This window comes from Homo sapiens, chromosome 2 (genome assembly GCF_000001405.40).
Source record: "Homo sapiens chromosome 2, GRCh38.p14 Primary Assembly".
Taxonomy (NCBI): domain Eukaryota; kingdom Metazoa; phylum Chordata; class Mammalia; order Primates; family Hominidae; genus Homo; species Homo sapiens.
This window is the reverse complement of record NC_000002.12, coordinates 98,021,737-98,036,603: the sequence shown is the minus strand read 5'-3', so window position 1 is coordinate 98,036,603 and position 14,867 is coordinate 98,021,737. Positions and strand designations below refer to the sequence as shown.

The 14,867-nt window shown below is 43.3% G+C and overlaps 3 annotated features.

Moving 5' to 3' along the window:
• Positions 8,759 to 8,868: a silencer, noted in NCBI's record as "silent region_11798". NCBI's record gives its function as "represses an Ori minimal core promoter by ATAC-STARR-seq in GM12878 lymphoblastoid cells {active_cell/tissue: GM12878}" and the evidence as "EXISTENCE:reporter gene assay evidence [ECO:0000049][PMID:35858748]".
• Positions 9,009 to 9,128: an enhancer, noted in NCBI's record as "active region_16253". NCBI's record gives its function as "activates an Ori minimal core promoter by ATAC-STARR-seq in GM12878 lymphoblastoid cells {active_cell/tissue: GM12878}" and the evidence as "EXISTENCE:reporter gene assay evidence [ECO:0000049][PMID:35858748]".
• Positions 9,519 to 9,578: a silencer, noted in NCBI's record as "silent region_11797". NCBI's record gives its function as "represses an Ori minimal core promoter by ATAC-STARR-seq in GM12878 lymphoblastoid cells {active_cell/tissue: GM12878}" and the evidence as "EXISTENCE:reporter gene assay evidence [ECO:0000049][PMID:35858748]".

Sequence of the window (14,867 nt, the reverse complement as noted above, 5' to 3'; positions counted from 1 at the left end):
CACCTGTGACTGCAAGCAGGTGAAGAGCCTGCCTGTGTGGGGCCCCTGAGGGACGGTGCTTGAAGCTGCTCCAAAGAAAGCCGAGCCCACGGAGGCTGGAGTCTTGCACAGGCTCCCTGGCACATGAGCTCAGCCTATTAAAAGTGCTTGCTTAGCCCAATGGGGACTGACAGCCAATGGTCATGAAAGATTTTATTGGGGTGATGGAAACACTATAAAATTGGATTATGATGGTGGTTGCACAGCTCCATACATTTACTACGCTATTGAATTGTACACTTAAAACAGGCGAGTGTTATGGTACATAAATTATACTTCAATAAAACTCTTTAAAGAAAAACAGAAAGAGGATATATTTTATATACATACATATATATATATATATATATATATATACACACACACACACACATATATATACTTTCATTTCTTTCAAAATTCCTGTCTAGTCAGATCCTAGCTCCAGGTTGCATTTATGTTCTTGCTTTTAAATTTTACTGATGTGTAATTTACATAGAATTAAATGTGCACTTTGATAAGTTTTGGAAAACGTAGACATCTATGTATCCACTGGCACGATCGTGATATAGAACATTTCATTCCCCCAGCAAGTTCCCTCTAGCCTCTCTGCAGTCAGCCCTCTCCCTTATCCCAGCCACAGGCCACCACTGATCTGCTTTTTGTCACTATAGATTAGTTTAGACTCTTCTAGAATTTCATATAAATATACTCTTTTGTGTCTGGCTTCTTTTAGCCAGCATAATGTTTTTGAGATGCATCTTGTGCTCCCCTTTAAAAACAAAACAATTCGTGTTGGTGAGTTCTCCAATGTGAAAAAGGCTTCTCTATTCCAAGAACAAGTTTTCCAAATTAGGAAACAACTTTGCTTCAATAGTCTAAGGCTTTTGGTTGAAAATGTTTTTCTTAATGATGAGTTTGAAAGAGGATCCAAACTTAAGAAGTTATTGTTGCCAGGCACGGTGGCTCATGTCTGTAATCCCAGCATTTTGGGAGGCTGAGGCGGGCAGATCACGTGAGGTCGGGAGTCCGAGACCAGCTTGACCAACATGGAGAAACCCCGTCTCTACTAAAAATACAAAATTACCCAGGCGTGGTGGTGCATGCCTGTAATCCCAGCTACTTGGGAGGCTGAGGCAGGGGAATTGCTTGAACCCGGGAGGCGGAGGTTGTGGTGAGCCGAGATCACGCCATTGCACTCCAGCCTGGGCAACAAGAGCGAGATTTCGTCTCAAATAAATAAAAAGTTATTATTAAGTTATTGTTAAGAATTTTACTTCTAATTTAGAAATCGTTTTCTAAAATTACCCTTGCTAAACTAAAAAAAAAAAAAAAAGACAGCAAGAAAGGACTTAGGTTAGAGAGAAATAAACAGGCTAAGATAGAAGTATTTTAAACTAAAAAACTTACCCAAAGATATCACATATGTAAAGTTTACAAACCAGGTGAGTAATTCCTTAGGAAAGGCAGAATATTTCTGTTAGGGACGAACTGCCCCAAAAAAGCTTCTTGGTACTGCCGACACTTCCCCCAAACCTCTCCGTGCTGCCCACTCCTCCCGCTTATGCTCTGCAACCCTTCGTGCCGCCCACCCTTCCCCCTGAGCCCCGTTACACTTCTAAGCCCTTATCTAGGTGCCGTGGTGAAGCCAGCAGACTTCACCTACCAGGCCTTGCTGCGATAAGCAAACCCCAATTACAAGCCATCGGACCGCACAGTGGGAGGTTGTGGGAAGCATAAACCAACTTTACCTACACCCTCCTGTAAATTCTACCATAAACGTCACAAGGCAGTATGTGGTAAAATTAACCAGCAAACAACCCCGGGATGCGGCCATGCCAAAGGACTCCCCCAAACTCCCCTCCCCACTATAAACCCCTCATTTTGTAAGCTCAGGGCTGCTCCTCTGACTGTTAAGAGGGCAGCCGGCAGGTTAACAAAGGCTTGCCTGGACTTGGGCCTCTCTCTGTCTTGTCCTTTCTCTCTCGGCTGACCTTACATTCCATTTTGAGGTATATAGTAGACACTCAAGTAATTTTTGAAAGATTGGATGAATTTGAAAATATTTATAGAATTCACAGGAACAGATGTCTCTCCAAACTTGCCTAAATTACTACATGAAGCAGTCAGTATGAAATTTGCCTTTAGTGATGGATGTGAATCCAAAAGTATCTGAGACAGATCTCAATCAAATTAGAACATTTATTTTGCCAAGGTTAAGGGGCGTGCCCATGACACAGCCTCAGGAGGTCCTGACGACATGTGTCCAGGGTAGTCAAGGTGCAGCTTGCTTTTATACATGTTAGGGAGACAGGAGACCTCGATCAGTATGTGTAAGATGTACATTGGTTTGGTCCGGTAAGGGGAGGGGAGTGTAGATAAGAGACAAAGGTAGAAAAGAGACAAAAGTTTGCATTGTTTTGAGTCCTTGATCAGCCTTTCAATGAATACACAATTTAGTCTGGCTCAGTGAATCTGTATTTTTACATAAACAATAAGGCAGAGGAAGCAATCAAATATGCGTTTGTCTCAGGTGAGCGGAGGGATGACTTTTGTCCCGTACCTGTGAAGATAAGCTATCAGTTTACACTGCCAGGGTGAAATTCAAGAGAACTGTTTTAGGGTGAAGATCTTAAGGCCTACAAGGAATTTTCTTGTGGACAAATTGTGAGGAAGGTATATAGCTTTTTTTTTAATCTTTGTAGCTATCTTACTTAGGAATAAGATGAGAGGCAGGTTTGCCTGATGCAGTTCCTGGCTTGACTTTTCCCTTGGCTTTGTGATTTTGAGGTCTTGAGATTTCTTTTCCTTTCACATGAGCAAGTTTTGCTCACAAGATAGCAAGCAGCCACTTTGGAGTTGCAGAGTGAGTTTTTAAAATAAATAAATTGGCCGGGCACAGTGGCTCACGCCTGTAATCCCAGCACTTTGGGAGGCCAAGGCGGGTGGATTACCTGAGGTTAGGAGTTAAAGACCAGCCTGGGCAACATGGTGAAACCCTGTCTCTACTAAAAATACAACAATTAGCTGGGCATGGTGGCTGGTGCCTGTAATCCCAGCTACTCAGGAGGCTGAGGCAGGAGAATCGCTTGAACCCAGGAAGCAGAGGTTGCAGTGAGCCGAGATCATGCCACTGCATGCCAGCCTGGGTGACAGAGAGAGACGCTGTCTGTAAATAAATTAATTAACTAATTAATTTAATTAAATAAATCAACTGAACAAAATGTGGGTGTTGGCTGATAATGGGAGTAGGCTAAGTTGCGAGTGCAGTCTGGGAGCCATTACTGAAGCCAAAAGTGGCCTTTGACTGGTTTAAGCCACTTGGGGAAGGAGGTGAGACAGTGAGTATTAGCTGAAGAGGGCTCCACGCTGGGGCACATAAGCCTTCATCTTTGCCTCCCAGGAGAGAAAAAAATTGTTCCATTGTTACTTTTCAAAGAGGTGAGTGTTTCTCCACACTGTGCCCCGACAGCAGGCACCATCTCCAGAAGTCCCGAGAACATGCCTCTGGAAGTCTATTCTATTCCCACAACTATCTCATACAAAGGTATCTGAAGCTTCTGCCTGGGCCTCCCTCTTCCTACCATCCTAAATAATTGTCATTTTTCAAGTGTTTCAACATTTCAACTTATAAGAGTATCTGGTAATCTAAACATACTCATTTCTTTGTTCCCTTCCTGTCCCAGCTTCCGTTTGGGACAGTCTTCCTTTTCACTGTCTGACTATTGTCTTTGACTCACTTCGGGTCACCCTGATCCCCTAGCCTCCTTGATTATCTTCCCCCTGTAGCTTGGGGCCAACCACCCCCACCCCAGCTCAATCCCTGCTGGCAGCAGGGGCAGAAATACTCCACACCTACCTGAGTTTACACAGTCACTTTCTACACAAGGAGCTGAAACCGAATCCAGGGCCCACCCCATCCCTCTCCAAGTGTATGGGCTGAATTGTGCTCTTCCAAAAAAGATGTGTTGAAGTTCTGGCCCTCAGTACTGCAGAATGTGACTTTATTTGAAGAGTGTCTTTGCAGATATAATTAGTTAAGATGAAGTCATACTGGAGTAGGGTAGGTTCCTAATCCAATATGATAATGTCCTTATTTTTAAAACCATCATGCAAAGATACAGACACACAGGGAGAGCAGCATGGGATGACAAAGGCAGAGATGGGAGTGATGCAGCTGCAAGCCGAGGAACAGCACAGATGCTGGTGACCCCTGGAAGCCAGGAAGAGGCAAGGAAGGACTCCCCTCCAGGCTTCAGAGGCAGCAGGCCTTGCTGACACCTTGATCTCAGACTCCCAGCCTCCAGGACTGCGAGGCAACACAGTTCTATCTTCAGCCACACAGTTGGTGGTACTTTGTTACAGCAGCCTAGGAACTGATACTTTGCATGTGATGGTGAATTTTAGGTGTCAACCTAGATGGATTAAGGAATACCTAGAGAACTAGGAAGGCATTATTTCTGGGTGTGTTTGTGAGGATGTCTCCAGGAGACTGGAGTGTGAGTTGATAGGCTGAATGAGGAAGATCTCCCCTCAAGGTAGGTGGGCACCATCCAATCAGCTGCGGCCCAGAAAGAACAAAAAAGTCAGAGGAAAGGTGATTTCCTCTCTCTCTCCTGGAGCAGGACACCCTTCTTTTCTTGCCCGTGGACACCAGAACTCCAGGATCTCCAGCTCTGGGACTCCAGGACCTGCACCAGAGGCTCCCCAGGTTCTCAGGTCCTTGGTCTTGGACTGAGAGTTCCACCATCTGCTTCCCTTGTTCTGAGGCCTGTGGACTTGGATTAGGCCAGGCTACTGGCATCCCAGGGTCTCCAGTTTGCAGACAGCCTGTTATGGGACTTCTCAGCCTTCACAATCATATAAGCCAGTTTCCCTGATAAAATCCCTCCTCTGTATCTGTCTACCTACTCCATCTATGTATCTATCTATGTATCTATGTATCTATGTATCTATCTATCTATCTATCTATCTATCTATCTATCTATCTATCTATCGTCTATCCAATCATCTATATGTCTAGCCTATTGGTTCTGTCTCTCTGGAGAATCTTGACTAAGACACTGGGTGGCTCTCATTTGCACTTGATAGTAATCTCCTCCAAGAAGCCAGTCAAATTTAGGAGATACTTCTTGTCAGGCCTCTGAGCCCAAGCTAAGCCATCATATCCCCTGTGACCAGCACGTATACATCCAGATGGTCTGAAGTACCTGAAGAATCACAAAAGAAGTGAAAATGGCCTGTTCCTGCATTAACTGATGGCATCATCTTGTGAAATTCCTTCTCCTGGCTCATCCTGGCTCAAAAGCTCCCCTACTGAGCACCCTGTGACCCCCCACCCCTGCCCACCGGAGAACAACCCCCTTTGACTATAATTTTCCTTTACCTACCCAAATCCTATAAAACGGCCCCACCCCTATCTCCCTTCCCTGACTCTCTTTTTGGACTCAGCCCGCTGCACCCAGGTGAAATAAACAGCCTTGTTGCTCACACAAAGGCTGTTTGGTGGTCTCTTCACATGGATGTGAGTGAAACTCCTATGATATCTTATATTTATCCTGTGTTTGGTAAAATAAGATTTCTAAAATAACCAATTTTGGGGTTATTATTATTTAAAAAAACTTTTTTTTTTTCTTTTCTGGCGTTCTTCCCAAGCAAATATTCAGTCCTGATATGGTCAGGGAGATGATAGGATGGTGGGGGACGGTGGAAATTACCAGCAAGATTCTTCCCAAAGTGACTTAAAACAAGATTTTTATTTCACACCTTTCATGAGGCAAGAATCTGGGAGTCCCTCAGCTGGGTGGTTCCAGTCCAGAATTTCTGCTGTAGATACAGTCAAAGTGTCAGCTGGGGCTGCAGTAATCTGAAGGCATGGATTCCAAAGCATGGTCCCTAGGGGAACACGGAGGACCAAAGCATAGACATGTATTTGGGGACATGAGGTTTGAAGAAGGAGGCTCACCCCCACAACAACCCTGTCAGATTAGAAAATTTCCTGACAAGTGAGGAGGGAAAGGATGAATAGGGGAGGAGGTGAGAGCAGAGGATGGAGGGTTTCTAAAAGAGAAGCTGCAATTGGCTTTCCTGGAGGAGTCCTGGGAAATGTGGGAAGACCTTGGGGCAGTTCCAAGCACTTTGTAAGAGGACTTCATAAGTATTTAATCTTCACGAATCTCTGTAAATATTATTATTTACAAATGCACAAACTGAGGCTTAGGGAGGTTAAATAACTTGCACAAAGACACTCCCTGGATAAGCAAGTGTGGTAGCCAGCCTCCAAGATGACCTCCAATGAGTCCTACTTCCAGTATTTATGCCCTTCCACAGTCCCAGCCCCCCACACTGAATCAGGATCAGTCTATGTGACCAAGGGAATGTGGCAGAGGTGATGGTATATTGCTTCTGAGGCTAGGCCATAAATGATATGTGGCTTCTGCCTTCTGTCTCTCGGAGTGCTTGCTTAGGGCGAAGTTAGCCGAAAGTCATGAGGACATTCACACTGTCTATGAAGAGGCCCATATGGCGAGAAACTGAAGCCTCCTGCTAGCAGCCAAGTGGGTGACCCATGTTAGGTGTGAATCTTCCAACCTCAGTCAAGCCTTCAGATAACTCAGCCTCAGCTGACATCTTGACTGCAACCACATGAGAAATTCTCAACTGGAACCTCCCAGCTAAGTCACCCCTAAATTCCTGCCTCACTGAAAATGAAATAAGAAATACTTGTGTTATTATGAATCACGTTGAGGTAATCAGCTGCATAGCATAGAGAACTAGCACAGCAGGGTTCAAACAGAAGCTTGTCTGACCCCTGGGTGATGCCATCAGTTTCCCACAGGCCCTTCTGTCTTCCGCCTTTTCTCTTATCAATAATAAATGGAGAATACATTAATACTTAAAAATCAAAATGCAAATGTTATAAAATGTTCAGGCAGAAATTTAAAGGAGAGAAAAAAGATTCTAGCAACCACCGAAAGCAAACATGGCACGAACAGAGGGCACGGGCTGGGGCCGAAAGTGTTCAAGCCATAAACTGTAATGAGTGCAAACTCTAGGCCCAGCACGGAGCAGGCAGGGGCTTGGCCCTGGGGAGGTACAGACATACAAAAACCCCAGCACCTGGCCTCAGGGACCCTGCAGGCTAGCCAGAGAGAGTCTCTTTTTTCTGGTGTGACTGGTGGTCACGTACAAGTTGAGCAAAAGCAGGAAAGGAGGAGACTGACGGGTCCTGGGAACACAGCAGGGGACATACATTCAAAATGGGGACATTTGGTCCTTTTCATTCTGGAAGTGTCCAGTTATCAACCTTAAGAGACAGCGTAACCTGCGCCTAGCTGTGGGTGAGCAGCACCCTGAGGTGTGGCCATGGCTGGAACCCACTGGGAGCTGCCCGAGTCACCTTAAGGTGCCCGTGTTCAAACAGTGTTGAGTTAATATCTTCTGAGCTCTTGTTTGCAAGGCACTGTGTCAGGCATTGCAGACTCCACCCTTAAGAGGTCAAAAGTGTGAGACAAACACACAAAGAATTCAGATCCAAGAAAAATATTCTGTGTCCGTGAAGTTAATGACATGATCCAATGGCTAAAGCCTGGCCAGCAGTGCTCAGTGGGCAGCTGGGAGATTGTGGCCTGGGGTCTGACAAGGGCAGCAGCAATGGCTGCTGGAGTAAAGGGCTCTGGAAATTGGAAACTCATTGACTGGTTTGTCAGTACAGTAGTATCAAGGGAATATATGTACATTTATAGGCAGGAGCTAGGACTACCAAGACACTGATGGAAACGGTAGGCCCCAAATCTGAAAGTTCCAGGTCAAAGCAAGAAGCATAGAGGAACAAAGTTGAAAGTCCAGTTGAGCATAAAAAATGGGTTTGGGCAGTGAGAGCCAGGACAGCAGGAGTTTGAGCCTGGTTTGGCAGGGCAGAGGAGCGAGATGAGGTGTCAGAGTAATAGTCCTGCTTCCTAGGGAGTAGTACCTGATCTAAAAAGATTGTGAAAAATTTCCCAGAGGTAGACAGAAAGTTCATATCCGGTTGGGGAATCAGTAAAGGCCTGTGGGGCTTTGAAGGATAAGCAGGGTTTTGAGCAGCAGAGCTGGTTATCAGGGAAGAGAAGGAATCATGGTGGAAGAGTCAGAATGAGCAATGGCACTGGTATGGGACAAACGCAAGGCATGCTTGGTGAACAGCTTAGACCAGTCGCACGCAGCAGGGGTGGAGGGGAGAGGATGCTGCCAAATCTCAGAGGGAAGGGAATTTGCCTGGCTTTTTAACCTGATTCCTTCCCTTTCATTTTGGCTTCATGGAGTGGAGGGATTTGAATGGCAGGCTATAGCATTTAAGCATTGTTCTGCAGACAATGAGAAGACAATAGGTGTGTTGGAAAGTTGAGGGCAGAGCTCATTTCTGAGGCAAAGAATTGGCATTCAATTCAATAGAAAATGAGCTGTCAAGTGTCACAGAACACTGTTTTCTCCCCAATTGGATTGTTTCCTATTTGATTCCTAAACCCTCCCTGAAATTTCAGCCTTTCAAAAGTTGATGCTGCTCCAGGGAAGGCAGGTAAGCCCCATGCTGCTGCAGCTCTGTCTGCCTGCATCTGTCTGCTCCATGCTCACTGTCCTTGCCAGCCTGCTGGACCATTCTTCAGCCCCAGCTGAAATATCATACGCCATTTTTTCACATTTTTACATTCCTGCCTTTGGGAAGCATCTTACATTCATGTCAAATGACACTTACCAGCAGTCAGACAGAGAAGTATACTGCGAGGGGGTTGTCATTGCCTGCACATATGCAAGTTTAGCCATGTGTGACCGTATCAGATGATTTGACTGTCACTTCAGTTGAGCTATTTGCATTGGTAGCACCAGGCAAGACTGAATTTAAACTTGAATTCAGGTCCCTAATCCTAATCTTAAATGACTCTTAAAAGAGTATGTATGATGCAGGCTGGATGCAGTGGCTCATTCCTGTAGTCCCAGCTACTTGGGAGGCTGAGGTGGGAGGGTCACTTGAGCCCAGAAGTTCAAGGCTGCAGTGAGCTATGATCATGCCACTGCACTCCAGCCTTGGCGACAGAGTGAGACCCTGTCTCTAAAAACATAAAAAGATTATATGTGATACAGAACTGAAACTAAAAATAATGCAGAATGCAAAAGACTCTGAGGGTAAGCCTGTGGTTTTTAAATGTGGCATAAAGAGGACCATTTCCCTCTTCTCTGAGAAATCACCCAAAAGTGAGAAGGAGAATAAGAAACAGGAACAAAACTCTATCTTGAAAGAAATTAAGAGACATCTGAACCCTGAACCAAAATAGAAGAGGAAGGACTTCCAAATACAGTGAAGGTCAAGCAGGCGTGTGGGAAGATAATGAGAGAGGATGCCCACAGATGGAACCATCAGTCAAACCAGGAAAGCCTAGTTCCTCAAAGTAAGGGACATGCCCTGAGTAGCAAAGCCAACAGCCCCTTTTTGGACCAATAGGAACAGTCTAGAGGTTTGTGACTGGAGACTCCCTAGGCTGGTTAAATCCATAGTCTGAACAACTAAGAAAGGCAGGACTGAGTGAGAAAAAACACAGACAAGCTAGGCTGGCATTCTGATGGTGAGGCAGCATGGTGCAAACTGTCTTACCCTGCTTATGGTATCTGGGAAAAATAGAGGATAAAAGAACTTTCTCACATACACACACAGCCATCTTTAGCCGGGAACATAGCACTAGCCCCTCTTCAATCTAAGCCTCTAGGAAGAATTCACCTCTTTACAAAATATTTTTTCTTAAAAGTCATAGGATCTAAACAAAGATACCACAATAAAGGAAAAGATGAAAGTAACAGTCGAGAAGTGGCATGAAAAACCCTCACCAAAAAAGCCATTGCCATGAAACAGATGAAAAGTTAACCAAACGCAGTGCCAGAAATTTAAAAAAGCAATTAATGAAGCATTTAGTCTTTTCAAAGGAGAGCATGAAACACAAATTCGAGAGCCCAGGAAAGACATGGCAAGGCACAGAGAGAGATGAAATGTGAGTTGGCAGAGCATGGAAAAGCAGGGAGATAAAAAGTGAAACCATTTCAGAAACACAGGCTGGGCGCAGTGGCTCATGCCTGCAGTCCAAGCTACTTGGGAGGCTGAGGTGGAAAGATCACTTGAGCCCAGAAGTGAAGCAATACTCAAGAGAAGAAACTGAGTTGGAAACACGGTAAGATAAAGGGGAGAGAGAATTGAGAAAGGTGAGCAAAGTGAAATTAAAATGACCAGAGAGTTTAAAATGATTGCAGAGGATATCTTCAGTTACGATGGGCTGGTTAGTATCAGACCAGCTTTCCCCATGAGAATACCACCAGACTGAGCCCAGGAGAGGGAATTAAGGAATGGGAAAATAAGTAAGTTGAAAATACCTAAATTGAAGTCCTGAAAGGAAAAACAAAGAGTAGAAAATATAAAAAGGGCATAAGAGACATCTGGGACGTGGTGAAAAAGTCTGACATGCACTGCAGATAATCTGGCTTGTAATTTTCCAAAAGTGATAGAAGATATCAAGTCACAGGTTAAAGAATCCTCCCAGGATACATGTAATGAAAACCACACCCAGGCACATTGTAAAAAGGATAAAGGGAAAATTTTAAGGACATTTTTAAAACAGAAAAGGGAATAAAAACACATTACATTCAAAGATACAATGACACTTCTAGTTAACTTTCAACAGAAGTTGTAAAAGCCCAAAGAAATGCATTGTCATCTTTCAAGTCCTGAAAGAAGACAATGGCCAACCTGAAATTCTCTTCCCAGAGAAAACAGGATTCAAAAGCTGCAGAGATGGTCATTTTCAAAAACTCAAACAAACAAAAAATCAAGAAACCTGAGAGACTGTATTACCAGCAGAGTCCACTAATAGAGAACTGAAGAGGTTTTCTTTAAGCAGGTAGAGATTGATCTTAGCTGGAGGTGCAAGAAGGAATGAAGAGAACCAGCAGAAACATGAGGATAAATCTAAGTCAATACTGAGTTTTAAATAGTATTTTTATTGAGGATCTTATATGTTCAATTAAAACACATAACAGCAATAGTATAAAAGGCAAGAAGAAGGTAATAAAATCAAAGTGTTCTGGTCAGGTGTGGTAGCTCATGCCTATAATCCCAGCGCTTTGGGAGGCTGAGGTGGGAGGATCCCGTGAGCCCAGTTTAAGACCAGCCTGGGCAACATAGCAAGACCTTGTCTTTACCAAAAATCTAAAAAATTAGCAAGATGCAGTGATGCGCACCTGTAGTCCCAGCTTCCCTGGGGTGGGGTGGGGCATCGGTGGGAGGATTGCTTGAGCCCAGGAGGTGGAGGCTGTAGTTAACTGTGATTGTGCCACTGCACTCTAGCCCCAGTGACAGACTGAGACCCTGTCTCCAAAACTACATATAATAAAGCATTCTAAGGTCGTTGCACTGTCTGAAAAGTGGTGAAAGCATTAATTTAAGGGACACTCACAAAGTCAAAAATGCATTTTGCAATCTCTAAGGCAAGCGAATAATAAGAGAATATGTAACTAATAATAAAGGAAGGGGCATGAAATGGAATAACAAAAACACAACCAAAAAAAGGTTGTTAATCTAAAAGAAGTCAAGAAAGGATAAATATTAAAAAACAATGAAAATATAGAACAAATAGAAAAATGGATAAGACGGTTGATTTAAACCCAGATATAGAATTAATTATATTAATGTAAATGAACTAAGTAATTAAAAACCGAAAACATTGTCAGACTCAATTAAAATGAGCCAAAAACTATGCTGCTTAAAAGAAATATTTTAAATATAGAAACTATGAAAGGTTGAAATTAACAGGATAGAAAAAATATAACCAAAAGTAAATTGTGTAGCTTTGCTATATCAGACAAAGTAGACTTTAAGACAAGAACTATTATTAGAGACAAAGAACATTTTATAATAATAAAAGAGTCAATTTAACAAGAAAATGTGATTATTCTAAATAATCCAGAAGTCAACATAGAAATCACAATGGAAATTATGAAATATTTTAAATGATAAAAAAAACAGACAATGTATGGCATTCAGCTAATGTCATACTTAGAGGGAACTTTGTGGCATTAAATGCATTTATAATGGGAGAAAAAGGCTGAAAAGCAATTACCTAAGTAACTATTTCAAGAAACCTAGAAGATAATCATCAAATTAAAACCAAAAGAAATAGAAAGAAGAAAATAATAAAGAACAAAAATCAATGTAATAAAAAACAAACATGCAATACTTAAAAATCTAAGAAGCCTAAAATTAGTTTTTAGACTAATAAAATTGATAATCTCCTACCTGAACCAATGAAGAAAAATAGAGAAAAAGCATAAAACACCAACATACAGTTATAAAGATCCTAAAGACAATAAGAGGATAATGAGAAGGCAATATAAATAACTTGATACCAATAAACTTAGACATTTAGATGCAATGAGCAAATTCCTCGAAAAGCACTATTTTCCAAAATAGTCACAATGAGGAATAAAAAATATAAGTCATTCTATATTTATTAGGTAAAAATGAATATATAATTTAAAATCTGTCACAAAGAATAAGCTAAGCTCTGATGGTGCCAATAGAAAATTTCTCCCAATATCCCACGATATTATGTAAACCTTTACAGAGAAAAGACAAAAAGATTAAGAGGCCAGCACAACATAAATTGTATCACAACCTGAAACTTCAGTTAAAAAGTTTGTTGTTGTCGTTGTTTGAGATGCAGTCTCGCTCTGTCACCCGGACTGGAGTACAGTGACGCGACCTCTGTTCACTGCAACCTCTGAGTAGCTGGGATTACAGGCGCCCACTATGATGCCCGGCTCATTTTTGTACTTTAAGTTGAGACAGGGTTTCACCATGTTGGCCAGGCTGGTCTCAAACCCCTGATCTCAGGTGATCTGCCCACCTTGGCCTCCTAAAGTGCTGGGATTACAGACGTGAGCCACCGCATCAGGCCAAAAAGTTTACTTTAAAAAGAATCCACTAGAACAGCAGTCCCCAACCTTTTTGGCACCAGGGACTGGATTCATGGAAGATAACTTTTCTACAGATGGGAAGGCTGTGGGGTGGTTTCGGGATGAAACTGTTCCACCTCAGATCATCAGGCATTAGATTCTCATAAGGCACGTACAACCTAGATCCTTCTCATGCACAGTTCACAATAGGGTTTGTGCTCCTTTGAGAATCTAATGCCACCGCTGATCTGACAGGAGGCAAAGCTGGGGCGGTAATACTCCTTGCTCACCCACCTCCTGCTGCACGGCCCAGTTCCTAACAGGCCACGGACCAGTACCAGTCCACGGCCCAGGTATTGGGGACCCCTAGTCTATCCTGTTGGAAAGTCTCTAGTTATATAATTACAAGTTTGTTGGATGCTTCTGACTGGTTGAGCTTAAGTTCTGTTTTCCTTTAATACAAATATTTACAAGAAATAGCTCGAGTTAAGTTTTGCTTATGTTTACAAATCAAGCAAGGTCGTGGTCATTTGTGAGGCCTGACTTATGGTTCTGTCTGCTCAGGGGTTCTTCAGACCTGGTCTCCATTTTAATGGACTGTATCATTAGAGCCTGCCTGCATCCAATGACTGTACCTCTCTTCATGTAGAACCCTCTCTTATGAGGATAAGAATTTCTGTATAGCTTTGCATAAATGAAACCAAGGATGCAGGCTCTGCAGCAGATTTAAGAGATTTTCTAAGGCACTTCTGGTTCTGCTTGATTTTTGCCTCTGGGCTAATTACGACACATTATCTGCTCATCAATTTCGATGCCACCGCATAACAGATAGAGAGGATGTAGTGTGAGAAGATAGATTCTACATACCCACGCACACACACACACAATTGAGGGGAGGATGAGGGGGAAAAGGATTTATGCATGTACAGGCATTTCTGCCTTCACCTGAAGCATAGATAAGAACTCAGGAGTTCTCATCAGCGTGGACTTCCCCGGCAGAGGAACTGAATATGCAAAGACATGGAGGCATAAAGGTCGAGGCTTGTTGAAAAACTAAGGAGTCACTTGTGTTTCCTCTCTCTGGTGAGGGGACATTAGCTCATGATCCTGACAGAGGGATAGACTGCTGACATTTTCTCTTTGGTTCCTAGTGTTAAATCTAGTTAAATGGTTCCAATGGGCTGGGAGTGCAATTAACAAGCAGCAAGAGCACCCCAGGGACACTGGTTATGGAGTCCTCTTAGGGCAGCACTGCCCAATAGAACTTTCTGTGATCATGGAAATGTTCAGCAGCTACACTGTCGAATATGATAGTCACTAGCCATATGTGACCATTTAGCATTTGTGGCCAGTGGGAATGAGGAAGTGAATTTTTTTTTGAGATGGAGTCTTACTCTGTTGGCCAGGCTGGAGTGTAGTGGTGCCATCTCGGTTCACTGCAACCTCTGCCTCCCGGGTTCAAGCAATTCTCCTGCCTCAGCCTCCCTAGTAGCTGGGACTACAAGCATGTGCCACCACACCCAGCTAATTTGTGTTTTTTTAGTAGAGATGGAGTTTCACCATATTGGACAAGATGGTCTTGAACTCCTGACCTCAGGTGATCCACCTGCCTCAGCCTCCCAAAGTGCTGGGATTACAGGCGTGAGCCACCACACCCGGCCAGGAAGTGAATTTTTAGTTTCAGTTAATTTAAATTTAACTAAGCTTGAATTTAAATAGGTACATGTGGCAATACATAACAGCAGCTCTGGGGACACCCTCCATGATCACAGCTCCTGGTCCTCCAGTCTGCTGTGGCAATTCCCCATAGGCTTTTCCCTTCTACCATTCGTTAGCATTTCTTGAGCAATTACTATGGGTAGAGTTCTGAATTCGAT